Here is a 27,371-nt window from a genome sequence, read left to right on the forward strand (position 1 = left end):
GACCCTGGGAGGTCGAGGCTGCAGTGAGGCAAGATTGTGCCACTGCACTCCAGCCTAAGTGACAGAGCAAGACCTGTAATTGTATCCTCTTAATCTAATATAGAATTGTGTCACTATTCATTAATATAATTAATCAATTAACTACCAAATTTCTACTCAACACAAACTTAAGAGGAAGGAAATTGTCTACTTAAAGATATTAAATTCATATAACATTTATTTAAAACGTTCTTTCAACCTCACCTGCAAAAAGGGGTCACTGATACCAGAAACATCATGTTCTGGTGAATATCCGGACATGATGAGGTTCTTTAAAATACGAACTAATTGGGGCACAAGCTGCAGAGAAGAAAGATGCATCAAAAAACAGTGAATATTGAAGAATGTCTCATGAATAAGCAGGTCCTTTGGTTTAGAAAAAGGGTGTAAGGGTCCCAGTCCAAGCAAATTCTACTGATTTAATATACTAGTGTATTGTAGATGTTTGATAAACTTAGGAGTAACTTAGGGCAATATTCAAGAAGTAGTATGTATTTTATCTGGATAAAACCAAACCAGACTTTTTTATGCAAGAGTTATATGTAAAGATATTACAAATAATATTGGGTCAGAAAGCCTATGGGAACCAGGTAAAACAGATGCCTATGGGGCATACCGCATTTCTAGTTCTGTAGAACTTGAAAAGCCTAGGTGGCAAAAACATGTTCAGTTTTCACCCATTCAAACATTTGCATGTAACATGTCATCATGCCAAAATACAACTAGTGATCTTATTAAAATTATAGCTTTAAAACATACAACCTCAAATAGAGAAAAAAATCTCTTCTCTTAAGATAGAAGAGTTATACCCTTTTCCAACAAACAACAGGGAATACCAAAGCTGACAATAGTAATACGGTAATCAAATGGAAGACACATGAAAAAATTACATCTTTCATCTTAAGAGACATCAAGGCCATGAATAATTTCCTCTTCCTATTCTTAACTCCTATGATACAATTTTTTTAAATTTCAGGACTTATTTATATATATGGCTTTATGGCCTGTTTTCTTGTCTTTTCAATGAGACTATACATTCCTTATAATCAGGAATTTCCTTCCTATCCTTCCTTTACTTTATCCATTAAGAGTCCTAACACATAGTAAAGGCAATTTTACTGCCAAGCCGAAGATGTTTTAAATATTGGCACTCATTTCATTTCTGTTGATCAATTACTTGATATTAAAACAAAAGGTTTGCCACAATAGGAACTTTTTATGTTTCCAACTAAAAACTCAATTTTTAGCTATATAAACAACTCTAATGACCAAAAATTAAGTTAAATAGTGTGCAAAGTGAATTGCATTCCATCTCTTTTGCAGGCAATTTTAGCTACAACTCTGCTGCAACTCAGTTATTTTTTCTCACTATATTTAGACTCTGTCCCTTCCCTACTCCCCAAGCCTAAAAGGGGATCAAGATTGAAATGAAAAGCCAAGCTATATCCAAGGCATGCACTCAAAGCATTCAAAACATTAAGGCCACTTATAAACACAAGAAAACACAGTATGTAAGAATTTAAATAAGTTGAGCCATAACAGTTTGGAATTAAGTAACTTATAAGTCACCTAAACAAAAGTCTACTTTGGACAACTCCAAATAAGACAAATCTAAGCCATGGAGATCTGTAAATTCATTAAATCTGTCAACTATGGGCAAAGTTATATTAGAGATAATAATATACCTTTTAAAACCACTTTAAATCAATATTTTTGTAATAAAATGAAGACCAAGTAGTTACCAACCTTATCTTACATACTTCCCAATGGTCTGTTTTTTTTGTACTAGATATAACCCTAGTTATTTTTTATCTGGTTTATTTCTTGGAAAAGTCATTTTTCCTTGGGCTACTAAATTCAGAAATTGTTTTATCCACTGCCAAAAAGGCCAGCACATCACATAACATTACCCTGGGACACAGAGCACAAATGACTAAATGTTCAGCATACAATTCTTGGAACCCAGTTTCATTTTTCAGACAAAAATGCAAGTTATTAAAACTGATGACAAGACAAACAAAATAAGATGACACAGGGAAAGGCTGCAGCCATGAAAATCAGTTGGTGCCCACTACTCTACCTCAAAATCCTTTTAATATTCCAAAACTTCTATGTAAGATTAAGTACAGGTAAGAGAGAAATAAAATCTCTAAGTGTGAACTGAAAGCTCAGCAGTACATACGGAGCTTTTTAAAGTATGAGGTTACCCACATGCGGTTCTAAAATATCTACTTCAAAAAGCAGCAGCATTTTGTGTCAAAGCTCCAGACTAATCTGGAATTGCCATCACCAAAGCCACTGGGAAACTGCTCAAAGTTTCTCAAGTAAAGATAAAGAAAAGGCAGAGAAGAAGGCTTACAACTCAGGAAAGGCTGCAACTGAAATCCAAGGCTGACTTTGGAGTCAGGAGTTTAAGTGACAAAACAAAAACTAGACTAGGAAGTTAGCCAAAGATGGTAGAACAATAACTCACAGTATTAAGCACAGCTTCAGCATTAGTATATTTTAAAAGCCACATTTGTGGATCGATACACAAAAGCTACTAAGGACCTAATGCCAGCATGCACCATCTAAAAGAGGGTTAATTCTTACCTTTTCATTCTAACATACAGCAGGATTCCAAACAGACAACAGGAACAAAACATACAAAGCAAGCATTAGGGACAGATACGGGTCTCATACTATATTACAATAATTTAATCAAGACATGAACATCTAAGGGAAAAAAAGCCAAAAAAGAACTCCTGTTAGAGCCTTACTAGATCTAAAGTACAAAGTGAGTTCTATTTATGGAATGACCAGCATCCTATAAAAGAAGTTCAATGCATGTAACTACCCAAAGAACAGTCTTCTTCTGAGTCTAAAATTAAGTGGAGAAACAGAAATGTCCAGTTTAAAATACTAGTTTAAAAAAAAAAAAAAAAAAAAAAAGGCCGGGCGCGGTAGCTCACGCCTGTAATCCCAGCACTTGAGGAGGCTGAGGCGGGTGGATCACCTGAGGTCAAGAGTTCGAACCAGCCTGGCTAACATGGTGAAACCCCATCTCTACTAAAAATACAAAACAAAATTAGCCGGGCATGGTGGCAGGCGCCTGTAGTCCCAGCTACTCAGGAGGCTGAGGGAGGAGAATCACTTGAACCCAGGAGGTGGAGGTTGCAGTGAGCCAAGATTGCACCACTGCACCTCAGCCTGGGCGACAGAGCCAGACTCCGCCACAAAAAAAAAAAAAGAGAGAAGGGAGTACTTAAGAGAACTAAGACTTCCATCACAGGAGTCAATGTCCTAAAACGAACAGTAGAGTAAAAGTAATAAAAAAATTTTTAGTTTTAACCTTAAAAAAATAGAAAAGAGCTGGGCGCGGTGGCTCACGCCTGTAATCACAGCACTTTGGGAGGCTGAGGCGGGTGGATCACGAGGTCAGGAGATCAAGACCATCCTGGCTAACACAGTGAAACCCTGACTCTACTAAAAATACAAAAAATTAGCCAGGCGTGGTGCCAGGCACCTGCAGTCCCAGCTACTTGGGAGGCTGAGGCAGCAGGAGAATGGCATGAACCCGGGAGGCGGAACTTGCAGCGAGCCAAGATCGCGCCACTGCACTCCAGCATGGGCGACAGAGCAAGACTCTGTCTCAAAAAAAAAAAAAAAAAAAAAAAGAAAAGAAAAGAAATTCCTGCCTTTAAAAAAAAAATACAAAAAAAAAAAAAAAAAAAACAGGCCAGGAGCAGTGGCTCACACCTGTAATCCCAGCACTTTGGGAGGCTGAGGCGGGCTGATCACCTGAGGTCAGGAGTTCAAGACCAGCTTGGCCAACATGGTGAAACCCCGACTCTCCTAAAAATACAAAAATTAGATGGGCATGGTGGCGCGCACCTGTAATCCCAGCTACAAGGAAGGCTGAGGCAGGAGAATCACTTGAACCCAGGAGGAGGAGGTTGCAGTGAGCTGAGATCACGCCATTGCACTCCAGCCTGGGCAAAAAGAGCAAAACTACATCTCAAAAAAAAAAACAACACACACAAAACTCCTATTTCTAATTTGACCTCAGATCATGTTTCTTGACTCAAATGTGAAAACAGTAGATAAAACACATGAGATTGGTGTGTCTGCCAACAATGAGAGAAGACTTCTATTATGAAAGGGAAAACACAATACTAGTGCCAGTTCTCACTTATATGCCTAAATCTGGCTTCCAGGCCAATTGCATAGCAGGGCTAGTTAAATCCCTTATTCAGATCCATAGCTTGCTTTCAAAAAAAAATAAGAAGAAAATCATGTACTTTTCAGGAAAATCATTTTTCAATCAAGAAAGGCTTAGGCATACAGAATGGCACCTACCTTTCTGAAATGCGCAAGCATGTCTGGGCTTCGCTCACACATTTCTGTGAGGAGGACTACAGATGTGTGGAGGACACCTGAAAGAAAAGATCAAAGGAAAACTAAAAATGAGGCCTATTATTCAATTTTATAGAACAGGACTTTGAGTTCCTGAAGGTCAATTCCAAAAGGATAGTTGCTACTTTTGCTTTTTAATCCCCCAAAGCATCTAAGCATTGAAGTGAATACAAAGGAAGAACTTAATAGATGCCTGATTTAAAACTGGCCAAGTTGGTAAAATCGGAATGTTTTCAACAATTATGTGATCAAAATAATTATGAAAAAGTGACGACCAATACATATGTCTCTCCATCTGAGAATATCCATAAAAACACACAATGCAAGCTAGGTATGATCTGTTCTATACTTAATCAGTAAGCTATTATCTGAGTACTAACAGATAATTCAAGAGGCAAAAATCTTAGTAAGATTTTACATTTCCAGATAAAACGCATCAAAACTCTGAGAAAACTTTGGATGACAAAGTAAATTTAACTGCTCCAGAGTCAGTAAAAACAATCTCACAATGCTTTTCACTAAATAATAAATACGTGCTCCAAATAATTCAGTTGTTCAACAAGTATATTTTGAGCATTCTGGGCACAGCACTGAATTTGTCAAATTAAATATACCATACAATTTTTCCTCTTAGCATTTAAGCCACATGAATTTTCTTTATTCAGAACTTATTTCACTGACTTCAAATAAAAATAAAATGTTTGAGAAAAGAACAGTCACATTCCATTTAATTCCTCTGTTTTATACAAAGATTCTGAGTACCTAATACAAGCTTCTGTCAGAAATAACCCAAAAGAATTCTCACAATTTTTGAGTCTGGCAGGGTCTGGCTCTGTAGCCCAGGCTATAGTGCAGTGGTACAATCTTGGCTCATTGCAACTTCTGCCTCCCAGGTACAAGCCATCCTCCCACTTCAGCCTCCTGAGTGGCTGGGACCACAGGCATGTGCCATCACACCCAGCTAATTCTGGTATTTTTTACAGAGATGGGTTCTGACTTTGTTGCCCAGGCTGGTCCTGAGCTCAAATGATCTGCCCACCTTGGCCTCCCAAAGTGCTGGGATTACAGGCATGAGCTACCACGCCCAGCCGCACAAATCTTATACTCCTACCACATGATAATGGAATTTTTTCTTTTATTGTAAAATAGGCAAGAAATCAAAGGATTTTACACATGAAAATTATGGGTAGGCTCATTTGTATATTACACTAAATATTAACAACTTAATATTTTTAATAAAGTAAAAGAGGACCAGAGATGAAAGATAAGTTTACTATGAAGGAATCAATCTCTTAATATAAAACTAGGATATGTGAGTGGAAAGACTTGTCAGACCAGACCTTCCTGGAAAAGTGTCTAAGGCACAGCAGAAACGCGACTCCACTGTTCTGAGAGACACAGGACTAACATAGCCTTAAGCCTTTTCTCTTTCCCTTTCTCCCTCAATACTTCATGAATACATCCAAATTACATTACCATGGTTCTTCTCATTCAATAAATTTTTTGTTGCTGGTAAAAACATCTCCATAAGTTCAGGAACTTTCCTGATGACATGAACAGCACACAGTGCTGCCTATGAAAAAAAAAATAAAAGAACAAAAGGTTTATTTCAATTATGCCAGGGCAACCAATCTTATTAAAAAACCACCAACACAAAAATCTCACCAACTAGTTCATCTACTAGAAAAATAAAGAAGGAAGAGGTTAGATATTAGATTTATGGCTCGACACAGTGATAGCCCACTCCTATAATCCAGCACTTTGGGAGCCCCAAGGCAGGAGAATCACTTGAGCCCAGGAGTTTGAGAACAGCCTGGGCAACACAGTAAGAACCTGCCTCTATTTAAAAAAAATTAAGAGGAGAGAAAATTATTTATTAACTGGTTGGGGAGTTCCAGTTTATACTATTATATTAAAGAGATCTTCTAGTTCACCTCTCCCTTTGTTCATATATTGCTAGACAAGTAGGCAAAAACTTTCTACATTAGACTATGTATGGTTAATATGAATTTATCAAAAAGTTAAACATAATTTATGTGGAGTTTTAAGGAAGTAAAAATAGATAACAATCTCAATCTGTGATAATCATACCTCTGAGTAAGATGACTAACAGCCTATAAAAACATCACACAACTGAAAGATATATACTGTAAATGCTATAAATCTACTGTTATGTTTAATAGTATCTATGTGGCCCTCAAATGACTCTACTGACATCAAGAAAATCATTTGAAAAATACTTAGTCTCTACTAAAGAAAAGATGGTTTTACTAGCTTGTTCACTGGAAAATAAAAGTACATTTAAACACTGATTTTTGTATATCCCCCAAAGTAACTATAACTACTATATGTTTGAGTCAAATACCATAAAAGTTTAGATATATTAACAAAAAAAATTTCTGCTAATTCCATCCATGTTATATTTGGGAGGAAAAAATATCTTTTTTTCTTTTCTTTTCTTTTTTTTTTGAGACGGAGTCTCGCTCAGTCGCCCAGGCTAGAGTACAATGGCGCAATGTCGGCTCACTGCAAGCTCCGCCTCCTGGGTTCACATCATTCTCCTGCCTCAGCCTCCAGGTGAGGGACTACAGGCGCCCGCCACCACGCCCGGCTAATTTTTTTTGTATTTTTAGTAGAGACGGGGTTTCACCATGTTAGCCAGGATGGTCTTGATCTCCTGACCTTGTGATCCACCCATCTTGGCCTCCCAAAGTGCTGGGATTACAGGCATGAGCCACCATGCCCAGCCTATCTTTTTTTTCTAACCTGCAGGAATGTTTCATTTTAATATGACAATGAGCTTTCTGAACAAGAGTAGCTCACATATTCTTTAAGAAAAAGGACCAGCTTACAAATTAAGAAAATAATTTAACTTTGTTTGCAGCCATCATTAACTGCATATCATCCTGGGAAATGGCTTGGCCTTTTCAATGCCTCTTTCCCAAACCATTAATAGAGAGGCACAGTAAATGCCAAACAGATCACAGTTTATGTTCATTTCTTGGACTTCTAAATTCCATACACTTCATTTTCAAAGGTTGTAGGGTTCAAGCAATTTTTAAAAACTCAATAAAATGCTTATATCAACAAATAAAATCAGATAGAAGAATAATTCTCTTCTATTACTAATCCATTCAGAAAGTGGGTTCTACATCATTCCCTAATAATTATCTAGGTCCCAATAGAACTGCCCTTCCAGAGACACAAAGGCACTAATACAAAGATATGGGTATTAATTATTAGGACAAAAGTAAATTCATAAAAATCTGTTCATAATCACCTTGCTGTAATACTGTTTAGAATCAGATAACTTAGGAATTTGGTATGCCACCTAGGATATATCCAGTAACATTTGTTTGTTTATAAATCATTTCCTTAAGAAAAGAGGAATTAAGGTTAATATATAATCATGTAAAACAGATTTACTACACAGAAAAAATGACTTTACATTATCATCAGATCTTTCAAAAATGAGTAATCTGCCTTCTCATCTCCATAATACTCCCTAATCCAAACAGACATTTGGTTCATTAAAAGTTACCTTTTTTCTTAAGTAAGAGTTGGAGGTTTTCAGGAGCTTCTCTACCTCTCCTGCAAGATCTCTGCACATCTCTGAGGAGCCCATGCAGCCGAGGGTACAAAGTGCTAACCCCTGTACGAATTGCGTGCTATGATTAAGATCACTGCAAAAGAAAAGAGGAAGGTAGGAACAAGCCTGGTGCTCCCCAAGAAGCAGCTTCACAATTTCAAACTAGTTCAGGATGACTCAAGATTTCTCCAATAACAAAAACAATAGGATTATTTGTTGCAGAAAATGTTTATCCCAACTTTATTACAAATTATCAATATAGTAAACAGACTGACAGTCCCTCCTATAGGCTTACAAGCCAATGTTTCCAGGTACCAAAGCAGTGGAAGTTGAAAAACATGTTATCTACTGGATGTCAGACACACACTTTAGAAAACTCAGCAAACTTGGCAGCAGGGTAGGGGTGGTTCACACCTGTAATCCTAGCACTTTCAGAGGCCGAGGCAAGTGGATCACCTGAAGTCAAGAGTTCGAGACCAGCCTGGCCAACATGGTGAAACCTCATCTCCACTAAAACTGTAAAAATTGGCCGAGCGTGGTGGCGGGCGCCTATAATCCCAGCTACTTGGGAGGCTGAGTAGCTACCCAGGTTCAAGTGATTCTTCTGCCTCAGCCTCTCAAGTAGCTGGGACTACAGGCGCACGCCACCACGTCCCATTAATTTTTGTATTTTGTATTTTTAGTAGAAACGGGGTTTCACCACATTGGCCAGGCTGGTCTTGAACTCCTGACCTCGTGATCTGAGATCACGCCACTGCAGTCCAGCCTGGGCAACAGAGCGAGACTCCGTCTCAAAAAGAAAAAAAAAAAAAAACCAGAACAAAGTAGGCCAGGCACAGTGGCTCAAGCCTGTAACCCTAGTACTTTGGGAAGCCGAGGTGCATGGATAATCTGAGGTCAGGAGTTCGAGACCAGCCTGGCCAACATGGTGAAACCCCGTCTCTACTAAAAATACAAAAATTAGCCAGGCGTGGTGGCAGGTGCCTATAATCCCAGCTACGCAGGAGGCTGAGGCAGGAGAATCACTTCAACCAGACTGGCAGTTGGGGGAGGACGGTGGCAGCGGAGGAGGATGCAGTGAGTCAAGATCACGCCACTTCACTCCAGCCTGGGCAAAAGAGCAAGACTCCGTCTCAAAGAAAATACAAAAAAGAACAAAGTAGTTAACAGTTGTTAGAAGAAAGAAAAGTAAGACTTACTTCTTGATACAGTTGGTCATGAGAAGATGGACATCTTGTCTTTCATCTAACAGCAGCATTGCCCCTAAATAGCCAATGCGTTTGTCTGTAAATTTTTGAGAGGCAATAAGCTTGAGGCACTCCAACTGCAAAAAAAGAAAAAAAAAAAGAAGGAAATTAAAACTTGCTACCACAATCTAGAAAAGCAGTGTTTTTAACCCAGAGTCCCCAGCTGGCTAAAGTAAAGTACAAATGTGTTTCATCAAACTACCTAAATCTTTTCTTTTTTTTGAGACGGGGTTTCGCTCTGGTTGGCCAGGCTGGAGTGCAATGGTGTGATCTCGGCTCACTGCAACCTCTGCCTCCCAGGTTCAAGCCATTCTCCTGCCTCAGCCTCCCGAGTAGCTGGGATTACAGGAATTAGCCACCATGCCTGGCTAATTTTTGCATTTTTAGTAGAGACAGGGTTTCACCATGTTGGTCAGGCTGGTCTCAAACTCCTGACCTCTGCCGATCCACCTGCCTTGGCCTCCCAAAGTGCTGGGATTACAGGCATGAGCCACCGCGCCTGGCTTTTTTTTTTTTTTTTTTTTTTTGAGATGGGGTTTTTGCTCTTGTCGCCCAGGCTAGAGTGCAATGGCGCGATCCCAGCTTACTGCAACCTCCACCTCCTGGGTTCAAGCGATTCTCCTGCCTCAGCCTCCCAAGTAAATGGGACTACAGGCCCCCACCACCAAACCCAGGTAATTTTTTTTTTGTATTTTTAGAACAGACAGGGTTTCAACATGTTGGCCAGGCTGGTCACGGACTCCTGACCACAGATGATTCGCCCGCCTCAGCCTCCCAAAGTGCTGGTATTACAGGCCTGAGCCACCGCGCCCGGCCAAACTACCTAAATCTTTTTAGAAGGCAAAGATTTAAGACCTTTGGATATCTTAATAGAAATCAAGTTCTAGAACAGATCATTTTATCAAGGCCCCATGATATTTGCCATTCAAATAATCTCTCAGTTTTGCATTAGTTTTGCAGATTCACACAAACACAAACTAGAAGTATTATAAGAGATTAACAAACCAAATTCCTACTTTAATCCCCAAGTTACATTAAATGAGCACCTAACGTGTACTTAAGGTATAGTTCCATTTTGGGAATTAAAAAAAACTCAATAACTAGAAATACACCAACCCATACTAACCATGAGGAATGTATAATTAATTTAAAAAGAGAGAGGCAATAACTAAGTTTAATATAATGTGGAAAGTATGTGAACCAAGTACATTCAGAGCTTGATCCAAGTACTACGGGAGAGGGCGAGGGTTTAGGAATCCAATACAGAAAAAACAAAAAACAGAGGAAAACTCAGTAGTGGAATTAAGCTAAAACGATTTACATTTCTTCTTTACATCATTGTTAGAAATAGCTTCTTAGGGCTTAAGAGTTCTTGTAAATTAGTTTGTCCCTCTACTTTGCCTTTCTTGAACCACCTTCAAAATCACTTTGACATACTTTATCACTCCATCTTGACAAACATGGAAAAGGCCAAAACATTACCTCTAGAGCAGTATTCAAAGTGCGTACACAAGACAGACTAACCAAGAAGAGTTATAAAAACCATGATCCCCTTTAGAATCATACCTCCCAAGGGAAGGGGCTCAAATGGATACCTGTGTATACAGGAAGCTAAAATCACGTGAGACTACTTTCCATTATGAATTTATCTACTAAATTCGAAAGTGAAATTGAGGAAAGTAAAACAGTTCCACAGAGTTGTTTCAAGCTATTTAAAAATTGCTCTCTCAATGTACCTGCATTAAAAACATCTAAAGTTAGCTGAATGACTATACTATCACGAGCATTTCAAAGAAGTCTCCAAGGAACATAACCAGGATCAAAAAGGAAAACATAAATGCCTGTGAAATGGAAAAGATTATGTAAGTAACAAATCTTCCCTTTCTTCTTCACATTGAATTTAAATTTAAACAGCAATTTCTGAAACAGAAGTTGATGAAAGTCATCTTTACAATGTCAACAGAAAATTTACTAAGGTGAATGAGAAAATCAGAAGCTAAAATATTATCAAACAAACCTTACTCTTTTTCAAACTGGTTTTTCAATCTTCTCATTTCATAATTCTATAAGTATTTTAGTAGTGAAAGCAAATGTTCCAAGAATCAGATATCAGAGTTTTCATCATCCTCATTCAATCTTACTTCTGACAAACTCCAAGCATTACACAGATAAATTATCCAAAAATATTTTATTAGGAATAGGACATACTCTTAGGCATTAATACTACTTTGTGGTTTTAGGGTCAAGTGTGGTTTTTTTGTTTTGGTTTTTTTTGCACGACCATTTCTTATTAAACTATACAAAAAAAGGCAGGCCAGGAGCAGTGGCTCATGCCTGTAATCCCAGCACTTTGGGAGGCCAAGGTGGATGGATCACCTGAGATCAGGAGTTCGAGACCAGCCTGGTCAACATGATGAAACCCCGTTTCTACTAAAAATAAAAAATTAGCCAGGTGTGGTGGTGGGCGCCTGTAATCCCAGCTACTCGGGAGGCTGAGGCAGGAGAATGGTTTGAAATTTGAAGGCGGGAGGTTGCAGTGAGCTGAGATCGCGCCACTGCACTCCAGCCTAGGAAAACAGCCAAACTGTTACAAAAAAAAAAAAAAAAAAAAAAAAAAAACTATACCAAAAAGGGAGGGGAGGGAGGCAGCTGTGGGGTTTGGCCCCAACCCCAGCCCACCCCCAGTCTGGCGCTGTCTTAGAGGAGGGGATCTGAGGGAGATCCCAGGCAGGATAGGGATGAGGCAGGACATGAGGCTAGGGGATGCAGAGGTTAGGCAGGAGAGGCTACCAGAGGGTGGGGGGAGCGGGAGGGAGGCAAGAAGAAAACAAAGAGAGAGGAGCAACTGGGGGCCAGCTGGGGAGCTCAGATGGAGTAGGTCAGGAGGTGGAACAATGGTAGAGTGAGGGTGGAGGGGTCAGTGTCTGGGAGAGGTGGAAATGAGAAAGCTGGGGAGAAAGAAGAGGGTGGCGGCTCTGGTGCAGGGCCCATAGCAAGGAGCCAGGCGAAGAGTGGCTGGACTTGTCTGTTCCCACCCCAACCTCCAGGCCGAGAGAGGCCTCCCATCCCCAGCCTGTTGGCAGGCGGTCATGCCGATGCCCCATTCTGTCTTCTACTGCTAGGGATCCGGTTCATCCTCCTCTTCGGCAGCTCTCTTCAGCTCGGGCCCTTCATCATCTCCTTCTTCCTCTTCGGGCCCGTTCTCCTCCTCCTCCACCACTTCTTTCTTTCGCTCTTTCTGGCTTGCCTCCTCCTCCACCTTCTCCTTCAGGTCCTTGGTGCCCAACTCAGCCACTGCCTCCATGCTTTTCTCCAACATGGTGCTAGGACTGGAGCTGGCAGGCAGCTAGGGTCCCAGGGCCAAGACAGAGGGGCCCTGGACAGTGGAGGGCGGCTGAGACCAGAACCTGGCATTGTGACAGTGGTGGCGGCAGCAGCAGTTGCTCAGTCGGGTCAAGTTTTAAGATAGTCACACTAAGTCACCAGTGACTGACGAATACAAGCTGTTTTTTGTAACATTTAAGACATACCTAAAATTTGCTCTCTTCCTCTGTGTGCAGTAGGCACAGAGAAGAAGTGGAAAAACAAAACAAATAACAACAACAAAAAAACCTTACCTAAAAACTAAACAGCAAAAAGAAAAGCTGAAATTTAAAGGGGCAAGCATTATTTCAATATTCCCCCATTTATAGTGACTCTGCTTCAAAAACAAGCATTTGCTTTTTGAAGGTGACAAATCTAAGGGAAAATATAAGGTTATATGACTGGAAATAGCATCTGATATATACACTCCAGTGATGGATTAACTCTGATCACACTTTATACTTAAGTGGCCAGCCATAGTGCTGAGAACATACCATGTTTAATCTTTAAGAATATTATCAAGGCCGGGCGCAGTGGCTCACACCTGTAATCCTAGCACTTTGGGAGGCCGAGGTGGGTGGACTGCCTGAGCTCAGGAGTTCTAGACCAGCCTGCGCAACACGGTGAAACCCTGTCTCTACTGAAATACAAAAAATTAGCCAGGCGTAGCGGCGTGAGCCTGTAATCCCAGCTACCCGGGAGGCTGAGGAAGGAGAATCACTTGAAAGCAGGAGGAGTAGGTTGCAGTGAGCTGAGATCGCGCCACTGCCCTCCAGCCAGGGCAACAAATTGAGATTCTGTCTTAAAAAAAAAAAAAGAAAGAAAGAAAAAAAAAAAGAATGTTATCAAAGTTATCAAATGTTGAAAAAGAAAGATAAAGGTTTGGGGGGAAAAAGTACAATGGGGGAGATGCACACAAAAGGAGGGCATCCGTTTTTCCGCAGCAATCTCCAAATCTCCAAAAGCAAAACTCCACACTGTTGCATGAGTTAAAGAACAGAAGGAAAAAAGTAATCAATTACATGCATCTGCCCCTTAGGTAACAATCTCAAATATTTCAATGGAGTACTACTACTCCACTTAAAGCGACTTGAAAAACCTACCTGAAACATTTCTAACCACAACTCTAGCAGACGCTTTAATAAGACCAGAGTAAACAGTCCAGCTTTTATATCCAAATTCCACACAATTAATGGAAAACTTTTACTTCAAACTCTTCTCAGCAGAAGCATTCTAGTCAGCCATTAGCAACAAGCCTAAGAGATCGAAGTTTTCAGCCCCCTTTGTAACAAATACAGTGCCTGAAGAAGTGGTTCCCAAACTTAACTGGTCAGAACAGGTAGGAGAGTTTTGAAAACTATGGGTCACCGCCCCCACCCCACCCCCGCCAATATTCTGATGGAGTAAATTTGACATAGACACTGACAATTTAATTTTTACAAAGTTTTTCTATATGACTCTCTTTTTTGGGGAGTAGGGGGGAGAGTCTCACTCTGACACCCAGGCTGGAGTGCAGTGGTGCTATCTCGGCTCAACACAACCTCCTCTGACTCTCACGTTCAAGCAGTTCTCGTGCCTCAACCTCCCAAGTAGCTGGAACTACAGATGCGTGCCACCAACCCCAGCTAATTTTTGTGTTTTTAGTAGAGATGGGGTTTTGTCACGTTAACCAGGCTGGTCTCAAACTCCTGGCTTCAAGTGATCTGCCCACCTCGCCTCCCAAAGCACTGGTATTACAGGTGTGAGCAATCACACCCCGCCAAATGGCTCTTAATGTTACAATTTTCTTTGAATTTCAAAGCTATTTTACGAAGAGAATTTTCCATGTTTCTGGCCTTTTTACATCTTCCTGTAGCAAGTACAAATGTTGCCATTTATCAGTGTTTAATCCGGTTACCCCTGGATAAAAGCTGCACCTATTTTGTTAGCTTTTAGAACAGTTTCGCACACGGTCAGATGCACATCTAAATTGCTCACACCTGTAATCCCAGCACTTTGGGGAGGCCAAGGCGGGAGTATTCCTTAAGCCCAGGAGCTCGAGACAAGTCCAGGCAACCCAGCAAGACCCCATCTCTACAAAATTTAAAAACAAAAAATTTTGTTTCAGTTTTTTTTTGTTTTTTTTTTTTTTTTGAGACGAAGTCTGGCTCTGTCACCCAGGCTGGGGTGCAGTGGTGCGATCTCGGCTCACTGCAACCTCTGCCTCCTGGGTTCAAGCAATTCTCCTGCCTCAGCTTCCCAAGTAGCTAAGACTACAGGCACGCACCACTATATCCGGCTAATTTTTGTATTTTTAGTAGAGATGGGGTTCCGCCATGTTGGCCAGGCTGGTCTTGAACTCCTGACCTCAAGCAATCCACCCGTTTTGGCCTCGTGCTGGGATTACAGGCGTGAGCCACCGCGCCGGCCAAAAGTTTCTTAAACAAAGTTTTGTCTTAAAATTTTGTTTAAAAATTTTTTTAAATCAGCCAGGCGTGGTGGCATGCACCTGTAGTCTCAACTACTCAGGAGGCTCAGGCACCAGGATCGCTTGAGCCTCCTGTTGAAGGCTGCAGTGAACTACGATTGCACCACTGCACTCCAGCCTGAGTGACAGAGTAAGATCCTGTCTCTTAATTTAAAAAAAAAAAAAAAAAAAATTGCAGCTTTATGATATGAACAATCACCTTAATGAAAACATGCAATTGAAATTCTGTAAATTTTAACAGGCCTGCAACTGATTGGGTAGACCTTTTTAAAAGTCACCTTTATTTATTTTATTTTTTTGTTTAGAGACAGGTCTTGCTCTATCGCCCAAGCTGAAGTACAATGGCATGATCACAGTTCACTGTTAGTTCACAGTTAGTAACCTCTAACTCTTGGGCTCAGGCCATCCTGCTGCCTCAGCCTCCCAAGTAGCTACAACTACAGGCATATGCCACCACATGAGGCTAATTTTTTACTTTTTTTTTTTTTTTTGAGCTGGAGTCTCACTCTGTCGCCCAGGCTGGAGCGGGGTTTCACCGTATTGCCCTGGCTAGTGTCAAACTCCTGAGCTCAGGCCATCCGCCTGCCTCAGCTTCCTAAAGTGCTGGAATTACATGCATGAGCCACTGTACCCTACCCTAACTTTTTACTTTTGTAGAGATGAGGTCTCACTATGTTACCTGGGCTGGTCTTGAATTCCTGTCCTCAAACGATCCTTCTGCCTTGGCCTCCCAAAGTGCTGGGATTATAGGCATGGGGCACCATACCCAACCTATTTCTTTTTAATATTCAGAAATAACTGCCTGGTTTATACACACACACACCTAAAATCATCATTTTTGAAAAGCAAGCTTGTTACAACTGCACTACCACTATGTAGGCCTGACAACATAAAATCTATATAGACCAGAGTCTGTTTCTTCATTCTTCTGGCAGAAAAACAAAAAACAAAAACCTGACATTCCTAGTGAATCCAATTTTTTCTTTTGAGAAAATTATGAAATATTCCACTCAAAATACATAAAAATCACGTAACTGTCACTGACACACCAAGCAGCTTTATCAAATCTTAACATTTCACCCTATTTATTTTACATTACAAATTCAAATGAAGTCTTCTGTGTACTGGGCCTCAATCTCATTTCTCCATCCCAGAAGTAATCAGAACCCTAAACTGCTGCTCATGACTGCCATGCCATATATTCTTACTACACATGGAGAGACAGGTGGTTTTAAATGTTTTAAACTTTAAACAAATATCAAACTGTATTCCCGCTCTTTTCACTCAACAGCTTTGAGTATTACTCACATCAAGACAAGAAGATCTAATTCAGTCATAACTCACTGCTACATAGTATCCCACTTTTGAATATAAACTTACCTATTATCTGAGGACAAACAGATTGTTTGCAATGTTTTACCTATTAGAAACACTGCTGAAATGAATACTCTTATACATACATGTCTTTGTATACTGGAAAATTTATCTAGGTTATATACCTAAGGAGGCTTGATCAAATTCAGACTTTTCAGGTTTTGCTTTGTTCTGTTGTGATCTCATTTTGCAAATATGCACCACTTAGAGCCAGTGGTATGAACTTTCACCAGGAGGCGTATAATTATTTCTGGTAGTCGTCTCTCTTTTGTGACATTAGCAGCAACTGACGATCATCATGGGTTGCAAAATGATTAGATTCTAATTCATTCCTTCATTTATTAGTTGGACTACAGCTCTAAGAAGAAACTTCTCTATACAGAAGGAAGGCCATACTATTGCTAAGGAAAGGCAATATAAACGTTTATTTCAATCAATTGCAATTATTATCCTTTTTTTATTGACACAGAGTCTCACTCTGCCAACCAGGATGGAGTGCAGTGGCACGATCTCGCCTCACTGCAACCTCCGCCTCCCAGGTTCAAGTGATTCTCAAGCCTCAGCCTCCGGAATACCTGGGATTACAGGTATCTGCCACCATGCCCGGCTAATTTTTGTATTTTTAGTAGAGATGGGGTTTCACTATGTTTGTCAGGCTGGTCTCGAACTCCTGAGCTCAAGCAATCTGCCCGCCTCAGCCTCACAAAAGACTGAGATTACAAGTTTAGTCACCGCACCCAGCCTACAATTATTATTATTATTATTATTATTTTTATTATTATTTTGAGATGGAGTCTCGCTCTGTTGCCCAGGGTGGAGTGCAGTGGCGCAGTCTTGGCTCACTGCAACCTCCACCTCCCGGGTTCAAGCGATTCTCCTGCCTCAGTCTCCTGAGTAGCTGGGATTAATAGGCGCCTGACACCACACCTGGTTAATTTTTGTATTTTTAGTAGAGACAGGGTTTCATCATGTTGGCCAGGATGGTATTGAACTCCTGACCTCGTGATCTGCCTGCCTCGGCCTCCCAAAGTGCTGGGATTACAGGTGTGAGCCACCATGCCCAGCCGATTATTATTCTTATTAATACTCAAATTATCTCTTTTGGGGGTATGACTGCCTCTTCTGGTGATTACTGAAACCTTCTGACATGATCTTTGCAGTCTTTCTTGCTTTCTGGCATAGTAACATCATTCAAGCTTATTTTGTACATTTCCTTACCCTGGATTTGGGATCAGCCATCTTTCCAATGGGCTGAAAATAGTATCTGGAGACCACAGTCTAGGCTTAAGGATAGCTCATTGCTTCTGGTCTGGTCATTAATTCTAAGGCTTTTCAAGGAATAGTACTAGCTTAAGTACTTTATTTTAAGAAAAAAATTCCTTAATGTGAGAAAGCGTGTCTACTAAACCCTATGACAGTCACCCACATATTACTGTAGAGCATTTGTTTACGGCTTTAACAAGAGTGGCTATTATCATCACTTATTTGCAATAATGTACTACCTGTACAGTGTAATAAGAAAATAAGAAAATGTATAAGGATATCAAAGGAAAAAAAAGAACTGCCATTGTTTGCAGACAATAGTAGTATTGACTACATGGAAACAATGACGTCCACAGAGACTCTTAGAACCAAGTTCAATAATGTGGCAAAGTAGATAAATATTATTAAAAATCAATTATATCACTACAGATCTACAACATAATTATTTAAAATTTTAAAGGATACTATTTGCAACAGAAACAAGAGCTCTAAAGAACCTACAAATATATTTCTCCAAAGATGTGTTAAGACTTAAAAATCCTGTGTTTTAAAGGAAATTTTTTTTTAATTTTTTAAAAAGATGTATAAGACTGTACAGAAAACATTGTAAAATTTAGAGAAGCTAAAGAAGTGCAGTCCTATGCTACACAGATGGAAGGGAAGAATATCCTACACAGGTAATTGGGTATGGCAAGCAAGGCTAGAACTGAGGAAAAACAGAATCAGGCCCAGCCTAAAAGCAGCACACTACTGACATATGGAAATGTAGATTTCCATTCCACAAATCTTACTATGTTTCTAAGAGAAACTAGAAGTCCAGATTTCTATGGAAATTCTTTTTTCTTTTTTATGTACTGGCAGAAACAATTTTAAATACCACACAGGACAAAAAAGAACACATCTGTGGAAGAATTTGGCCCCGAGCCACCAGTTTTCTACTCCTGCAATCTACCTACTTATCTTTAGATAATTCATTAATATTTCTGGGTTGTGCTTAACCTACACACGCAAAAGGTTACACACACTACAGGAAATCTATCACCACTTTTGTTATAAAAATGCTGAGGATACTGTCTCTTACATTATTAAGAGACTCCTAGACAAAAGGTCCATATAAAAAATCTCTTAGAATTCAGTGCTTCAAAAAACATTGCCGTCCTTTAGGAAATGGTAAAATGCATAACATGAGGCTTTTTATATACAAAATGTGTCTAACACTTATAACTTAATCTTCATAATAACACTATAAAGTAGGCATTAAGATTGTCCCCATTTTACAGATGAGGAAACTGAGACACAGAAAGGTTAAAGATCTTGCTCAAAGCCAGAAGTCACATCCAGGCAATCTGGTTCTCTGCAGTTTTGCTCTTCCATCTTGGCAATAACAACTACCTGAGAGGTGACTGTCTCTTTTCTTGCCTTAGCTGTCGCACCAACAGCAACTACACTGGCCTTATGCTCTAAATGCTTCCTTTTTCCAACTCTTAATTTCTACTATTATTTTTCTCTTTAATGTAGATGCTGGTAGTTTATGCCATCTCAAATCCTTTGTACAGCAAGGCAGGGCTAAGATATTTTTTTGTTGTTGTTGTTTGAGACAGAGTCTCGCTTTGTCGCCCAGGCTGGAGTGCAATGGTATGATCTCGGCTCACTGCAACCTCCACCTTCCAGGTTCAAGTGATTCTCCTGCCTCAGCCTCCCAAGTAGCTGGGATTACAGGCACCCACCATCACGCCTGGCTAATTTTTGTATTTTTAGTAGAGACAGAGTTTCACCATGTTGGCCAGGATGGTCTCAAACTCCTGACTTCAGGTGATCCCCCTACCTTGGCCTCCCAAAGTGCCAGGATTACAGGCGTAAGTCACCGTGTCCATCCTACCCCTTAAGTTTTATTGCAAAACTTAAGACTTTTAAAATATAGCTACTAGAAATTTTTAAATTTCTATGTAGCTTGTGTTTTATTTCTATCAGCACCATACTAGATACTGTAGTAAAAAGTTTTAAAAAGGTGAAATTAGTTTTAATAATATTCTTTAATCAATATATCTAAAATATCATTTCAACGTATGATCAACACAAAAATTATAATTAGGTATTTTACACTTGCTTTTGCACTAAAGCTTCTATATACAGTATGTACTTTACACTTACAGCACATCTCAATTTGTACATTTTCATCAGAAATAGCTAAACTAAAAAGAAAAAAAAAGAAATAGCTGAACTGTATTTAGATTTCATAAAATTTACTATTTATAAAGTAGACTCACATACCCAAGTTGTTTAAAACATATTTAAAAGTCTTCCAATAACTAGGCTGGGTGTGGTGGCTCACACCTGTAATTCCAGCACTTTGGGAGGCCAAGACGGTGGATCATTTGAGGTCAGGAGTTCAAGACTAGTCTGGACAACATGGTGAAACCCTGTCTCTACCAAAAATACAAAAATTAGCCGGGTGTGGTGGCAGGTGCCTGTAGCCCAGCTACTCAGGAGGCTGAGGCAGGAGAATCGCTTGAACCTGGGTAGTGAAGGCTGCAATGAGCCAAGATTGTGCCATTGTACTCCAGCCTGAGTGACAAGAGCGAAACCCTGCCTCAAAAAAAAAAAAAAAAAAAAAAAAGTGGGCTGGGAATGGTGGCTCACGCCTGTAATCCCAGCACTTTGGGAGGCCGAGGCGGGCAGATCACGAGGTCAGATCGAGACCACCCTGGCTAACACAGTGAAATCCCGTCTCTACTAAAAACACAAAAAAATTAGCCAGGCATGGTGGCAGGCGCCTGTAGTCCCAGCTACTAGGGAGGCTGAGGAAGGAGAATGGCGTGAACCCAGGAGGCAGAGTTTGCAGTGAGCTGAGATCACACCATTGCACTCCAGCCTGGGCAACAGGGCGAGACTCCATCTCAAAGAAAAAAAAAAGTGGCTATTATTATACACTAAATGAAAATGGCACTGTGATCATACGTGCAGGTGACAAAATCTAGATATGAACCTTTTAAAGGCATATTATAAAGGTAATTCCAACGGATGGGGTACCAAATTACTGATATGAACAAGATGGTGACTCATTGAAACAGAGGAAACAGAATAAGAACTTAAAATTATGATTCCCAGTCCCATTCAGAAAAATATTTTATGATAAAATTTTAGCACAGTTTTCTCGAGCATTTACTTTCTAAGAATTAAATATTTTATCAAATAATTAAGTCCCAAAATACCCCCAAATGCCACCTAACCTTAAAAGCACATTCTATTTAAACATATTAAAGAAATGAATCTTAGAAAATATAGAGAGATTTTTTACAAAATGAAATATCCCCCAAAGTCTTAAATCTACTCTGATTCCAAATTCAAGAATTTGCCCTTAGTCCAGGGACTGTGGCTTACACCTATAATCACAGCACTTTGGGAGGTTGAGGCCCAAAGATCACTTGAGCCCAGGAGTTCAACACCAACCAGGGAACTGTGGCAGAAATCCAACTCAACAAAAATTTTTTTTTTTTGAGAAAGAGTCTCATTCTGTTGCCAGGCTGGAGTACAGTGGCACGATCTCAGCTCACTGCAACCTGTACCTCCCGGATTCAAACGATTCTCCTGCTTCAGCCTCCTGAGTAGCTGGGACTACAGGCACGCACCACCATGCCCAGCTAATTTTTGTATTTTTAGTAGAGAGGGGGTTCCACCATGTTGGCCAGGATAGCCTCTATCTCTTGACCTCATGATCCACCCACCTCGGCCTCCCAAAGTTCTGGGTGTACAGGCGTGAGCCACCGCACCCAGCCCAAATTTTTTTTTTAATTAGCTGACCGGGCACAATAGTGCACGCCTGTAATCTCAGTACTTTGAGAGGCCAAGACACATGGATTGCTTGAGCTCAAGAGTTCAAAATGAGCCTGAGCAACACAGCAAAGCCCTGTCTCTATAAAAAATACAAAAATTAGCCGGGTGTGGTTCCCAGAAGGTCGAGGCTGCAGTGAGCCCAGTAGAAAGTAAGCCTGAGGTGTCCACTGCACAATCCAGCCTGGGCAACAGAGTGAGATCCCGTCTCAAAAAATTAGCTGGGCCCGGGCACAGTGGCTCACTTCTGTAATCCCAGAACTTTAGGAGGCCGAGACAGACAGATAACGAGGTCAGGAATTCGAGACCAGCCTGGCCAATATGGTAACATTCCGTCTCTACTAAAAATACAAAAATTAGCCGGGTGTGGTGGCACACACCTGTAGTCCCAGCTACTCGGGAGGCTGAGGCAGAAGAATCTTTTGAACCCAGTAGGTGGAGGTTGAAGTGAGCCGAGATCACGCCACTGGACTCCAGCCTGGGCAACACAGCGAGACTCTGTCTCAAAAAAAAAAAAAAAAAAAAAAAAAATTAGCTGGGTGTGGTGCCATGCACCTGCAGTCCCAGTGACTCGAGAGGCTGAGGTAGGAGAACTTGAGCCCAGTAGGTTGAGGTGACAGTGAGCCATCACAGAGCCACAGCATGGGCCATAGAGCAAGACCCTGCCTCTAAAAACAACAAAAAAAGAATATGCTCTTAAAGAACTTCCTTGGGAATATGTAAATGTACTGCTTCCAAAATGTTAATAATGCTTATCGCTGAGGAATTAAGAGTCTTCTCCCTCACTAGACTTTTTTATAGCCCAATTTCTAATATATCAGATTTCTGTAAATCTAACCTAATACTTAAAATCAATCAACCGATCAACAAGAACACGTAGGCATCTATTTGCTTTATACTATGACACACAGTATATGGATAACCACCTGGATCAATTTTTGATGTGGTAAAGCTTATAACTGAAACATCAGAGCCTCAGGGTTTCATTCCACTCCTAACACTCTACGAATGAAATATGAAATATATTTCAAAGAACATATTATATTTTTAGAAACTATTCATGTGAAAGAGAAGAATGCTATTATGACACTAATTCTGTCCCAAACCAAATATATGACTATATTGATGACCCAGCAGTTGCTTCTGCCTGGCTCCTTTTCTTTTGATCCAGTCCCCTTTCCTCTGATACTAACACATCAATTTTTCTTTGGGAAATTAATGGACTCCCACTCTTGATCATGTATTTCTAAAGATGTTGACCCCACTCCAAACCCCAAGATGACCATAAAACCCAAGTCAGTCTGATAAGATTAAATCCCAGTACTTTTTTGTTTTAACTTGGGGGCAGGAGATCTCCTTCCACTGAAATTACTGACCTAAACAGTAAATAAGCTGATGACTATCTTTCCTGATAGTGTTGCACATTCTTTCTTTCAGTTGGGCAGTCTGTTCCTTAGAGAGACTATTTAGCATATAATACAATTCTTAAATTATTAAAATAAAATTTAATAGCACTAATATGAAATAAAAAAAACCCACTATTTCCTTTTCCATGACTAAATCCCACTTATGACAATATAAACATGCAAAGAAGAAAGTACTTATCATTGAGACTATCATTCTCAAAGCCCAGAATGGACATCTTAGATAGTAACCATTTGTGCATGGGAGAGAATCAGCTGCCAGATCTGCTCTAGTTACAGCAATCAAGGCACAAAGTAACTAGAACAAAATAGACGCCACCAATTGGCAACCACCTAATTTCCTTAACTGAAAAACATATTGTGAACTTCTCCACACAACGCTGTGCCCAGATAAAGCAATTAAGAAGACATTTAGCAAGCTTTTTTTTTTAAAAAAAAAAGAAATAGGATCTTACTCTATTGCCCAGGCTGGAGTACAGTGGTGCAATCGTAGCTCAATGAGGCCTCAAAACTCCTGGGGCACAAGCAATCCTCTTGACTTAGCTTCCTGAGTAGCTGGGACTAAAGGCATGCTCTACCACACCATGCTTTTTTTTTTTTTTAAGAGCAGGGTCTCACTATGTTGCCCAGGCTGATCTCAAACTCCTGGCCTCAAGTGATTCTCCCACTTCAGTGTCCCAAGTAGCTGGGATTACAGGCACAAGCCACCATGCCCAGCAAGAAACATTTTCTTAAATATTCATTATAGTCCAGGTACTCTGGCAGAACCACCACATAATCCTGGTCAATCTTTAAGCAAGCTAGCTGCCACCATCAAAACATTCTCTCATCCGTATAATGAGACTCCCAGTGGAAAGGATAATTGATAGCAATATCATGCCTTTCCAGGTCTGTGGCTTGCTCTCTCAATCTTACCCTCAGTTCCACAATGATCAGACTACAAGGCTATCAAAAGTACCTCCCCACCAGAAAAAGATGGACAATCCCTGAGCAACAATGTCAAAGAATACCCTTGCTACATGTAGTCTCAGCCCAGCCTACCTGTCCAAAGTGAGCAGGGTAGCCCAGCATGTGCATATACAGTAATTTTGCCACATTCCGACATCGGTATGTATTGTCTTCTTCTCTAAAAGATGACCGGATTGCAGCACATTCTTTCTGGATCATTTCTCGTTCTTCAGCTTGGGTTCGGGCTGTCCGGATGGTCCGGATCAGCTCCCGCAATCTGATGGGGGCTGGCATCCTCTGGATATGGAAAGACATTAAATAGAGATGTTCACATTTTTTACTACCAAAGCTATTCACACAACTTCCCATTTAAATTTTTGACTAGTTTTTAAGAATTCAAGACTTGCCAAATCCAGCTTAGCGAAGCTAAACAAAGCGTGCTAAGCTTCCGCAAAGCTATTACATACAGACCTCTCAACTCTGTACATTTCTGGAAAGGCTACAAACAAATATGGTTAAGTATTAAATTAAGCAAAATAAAACAAAGAATACACTAAATATGTAAAGTCTATCACTAATATCAAAATATCTCAGAAACTAATACAACTCAAATCTTTACTCAATCCTTAAAGTAATAAGGAAAGGCCTATGCCTAACCTTAGAAAAGATAGATATTATCTGTTCAACTGCTGTTAAACATAACATAGCTCAACAAAAATAAATATGGTCACAATCATAGCTCAACTCAACAAAATATGAGAGATTAAGAGAGAAGACCAATTGTCAGATTAAAACACATTCAACAAACTGTAACCATCCCAGTACACTGTGTGTATACTTTGAAAATGTGATGAGAAAAAAATAAACTAACCTCAGAAAATAAGGCTATTAGTGTCATGAATATCTTTTAAAAGTAAAAAAAAAAAAACGTTAATAAGGGACATATAACAGCCTAAATAATTGTTAACAAACAGAAAAAACAGAACGTGCACTACCTAATTTCAAGAATTACTACAAAGCTATAGTAATCAGGGAAATGTGGAACTAACTGAATGTAAGAATAGACTGAAGCAGGCCAGGCACGGTGGCTCACGCCTGTAATCCCAGCACTTTGGGAGGCCAAGGTGGGCGGATCACCTGAGGTCGGGAGTTCGAGACCAGCCTGACCAACATGGAGAAACCCCATCTCTACTAAAAATACAAAATTAGCCGGCCATGGTGGCACATGCCTGTAATCCCAGCTACTCAGGAGAATTGCTTGAACCCAGGAGGTGGAGGTTTCAGTGAGCCAAGATTGCACCATTGCCCTCTAGCCTGAGCAACAAGAGTGAAACTCCATCTCAAAAAAAAAAAAAAAAGAATAGAAACAAAACTGAAAGTTTAGGAATAAACCCACACAAATATACACAAGTGATTTTTAACAAAGAGGCCAAAGTTATTCAATAGGAGCAAGATAGTCTTTCAATGAATGGTGCTGGCAACTATTTCTCTCCATGGGGGAAAAAAATTAACCTCAATCCTAACCACACACAATACACAAAAATTAACTAAAAATGGATCACAAACCTAAAAGTCAAAGCTAAAACTAAAAATCTTCCAGAAGAAAACACAGAGGAAAATCTTTGCAAACAGGTTAAACAGAGAGACTTCACACACAACCACAAAGTATAAAAGAAAAACTTAATAACTGTACCCTATCAAAGTTTAAAATTTTTGCTCTCCAAAGGACATCATTATGAAAATAGGACACACCAGCTGGGCACAGTGGCTCACGCCTTTAATGCCAGCACTTTGGGAGGCCAAGGCAGGCAGATCACCTGAGGTCAGAAGTTCGAAACCAGCCTGGCCAACATTGCAAAACCCTGTCTCTACAAAAAATACAAAAATTAGCTGGGCATGGTGGCACACACCTGTAGGCTCAGCTACTTGGGATACTGAGGGAGGAGGATTGCTTGAGCCTGGGAGGCAAGACTGCAGTGAGCCAAGATCACACCACTGCAATCCAGCCTGGGCAACAGAGCAAGACTGTCTCAAAAAAACAAAAAAAAAAAACAAAAAAAACAAAAACAAAAAATCCTCACAGAACTGTAAAACAATAAACCAGAAGAGTCAATTTTACCATATGTTAACTTTAAAGAGTTTATTTTAAAGTAAACAAAAAAGCCCTTGAACTAAACAATTGAGACCTATTTGATCAGTTATAGAATATATACCTGAGAAAATTACTAGTTATTCTAACCTGCTTAAAGGCATATTTAACCACTCAAGTAACAAAACATTACTGTAAAATCTTGTGAAGAATGTTGTATGTAGATAGGGAAACGCTGTCTCTACAAATAATAAAAAAAAGTTAGCCAAACATAGTGGCACACGACTACTGTCCCAGCTACTCAGGAGATTGAGGCAGGAGGATAGCCTGAGCCCTAGAGGCTGAGGCTGCAGTAAGCTGTGACACTGTATCCTGGGTGACAGAGTGAGACCCTGTCTCAAAAAAAAAAAAAAAAAAAGTTGTGTGTAATGGGTATATTAAGATATGGTCACACGGCTGGGCCTATAAAAGCTAACACTAAACTCTGACTTTTTTTTTTTTTTTTTTTGGTGGAGTTTCGCTCGTTGCCCAGGCTGGAGTGCAATGGCGCAATCTCGGCTCACTGCAACCTCCACCTCCTGGGTTCAAGCACTTCTCCTGCCTCAGCCTCCCAAGTAGGTGGTATTACAGGCATGCACCACCATGCTTGGCTAATTTTTGTATTTTTAGTAGAGACAGGGTTTCACCATGTTGGTCAGGTTGGTCTCGAACTCCTGACCTCAGGTGATCCACCCGCCTTGGCCTCCCAAAGTGCTGGGATTACAGGTGTGAGCCACCACGCCAGGCCAACACTAAACTCTTATACAAGGGATGGCTGAAGGTAGTCTCACCTCAAAAATGAAGTCATTTTCGGAGTCAATAAACTAGAGACGTGAACTATGGGGGATGGAAGGCTAAAATAAGGTTCTATTAATCTGAACCATAAAGGTGTCAAGATGTCTACACAGGAGTTTCAGTATGGCAGGTTGAAAGACCGTGCCCTCCAAACACAGGCAGGTCAAAAAAGCCACCAGTTAAGCTATGTCCCTTTTGGCATTCTAAACTGGTAAAATCAGACTGAAAGAGAAGATAATGCTTAACATATGTGGAGAAGGGCAATGACAAATCTTCAGGAATTTTTACTTATTTCTACCCTAGATATATAAGAAAGTCTATTCTGAAAATCCCAGCCCTTTCCAACCCTGAAAAACAAAGAAATGTGAGTCCGTATTTTGGCCAAAGCACTGAAAGGAAGGAGGCACACCACAGGAACCAAGCATTGGAAGTAACAGGAAGTTAAAGAATTACAAGTGAGGAGGCCGGGTGCAGTGGCTCACACCTGTAATCCTAGCACTTTGGGAGC

At 40.2% G+C, this 27,371-nt stretch overlaps 2 protein-coding genes across 3 annotated transcripts in view, besides 1 other annotated feature; both read right to left on the bottom strand.

Annotated features, from left to right (window-relative positions):
• The window catches only part of AP1G1 (adaptor related protein complex 1 subunit gamma 1), a 79,835-nt gene that overhangs the window by 36,246 nt on the left and 16,218 nt on the right, over positions 1–27,371 (bottom strand). Inside the window, exons 2-8 of one of the 2 annotated variants that reach the window (NM_001030007.2) lie at positions 24,034–24,237; positions 9,223–9,347; positions 7,976–8,117; positions 5,911–6,007; positions 4,378–4,454; positions 2,632–2,640; positions 244–339 (exon numbers count right to left, since the gene is read on the bottom strand). In NM_001030007.2, coding sequence (NP_001025178.1) covers positions 244–339; positions 2,632–2,640; positions 4,378–4,454; positions 5,911–6,007; positions 7,976–8,117; positions 9,223–9,347; positions 24,034–24,234 — 747 coding nt within the window. In that variant the 5' untranslated portion in view covers positions 24,235–24,237. The remainder of the gene's footprint in view (positions 1–243; positions 340–2,631; positions 2,641–4,377; positions 4,455–5,910; positions 6,008–7,975; positions 8,118–9,222; positions 9,348–24,033; positions 24,238–27,371) is intronic. The other variant, NM_001128.6, reaches the window with a different exon arrangement.
• Positions 9,726–9,953: a silencer, noted in NCBI's record as "fragment chr16:71808874-71809101 (GRCh37/hg19 assembly coordinates)". NCBI's record gives its function as "represses an EF-1alpha promoter that drives an FKBP-Casp9 reporter gene in an ReSE screen in K562 erythroleukemia cells {active_cell/tissue: K562}" and the evidence as "EXISTENCE:reporter gene assay evidence [ECO:0000049][PMID:32094911]".
• LOC124903713 (parathymosin-like) lies at positions 12,292–12,678 on the bottom strand. Its single transcript, XM_047435017.1, has one exon. It carries the CDS (start codon positions 12,587–12,589, stop codon positions 12,389–12,391), a length of 201 nt encoding a protein of 66 aa, XP_047290973.1. The 5' UTR covers positions 12,590–12,678; the 3' UTR covers positions 12,292–12,388.

Source organism: Homo sapiens, chromosome 16 (genome assembly GCF_000001405.40).
Source record: "Homo sapiens chromosome 16, GRCh38.p14 Primary Assembly".
Taxonomy (NCBI): Eukaryota; Metazoa; Chordata; class Mammalia; order Primates; family Hominidae; genus Homo; species Homo sapiens.

What these genes read in the sequence shown, in the direction of transcription:
- LOC124903713 (XM_047435017.1), bottom strand. Translation starts at nt 12,589, where the DNA reads ATGTTGGAGAAAAGCATGGAGGCAGTGGCTGAGTTGGGCACCAAGGAC.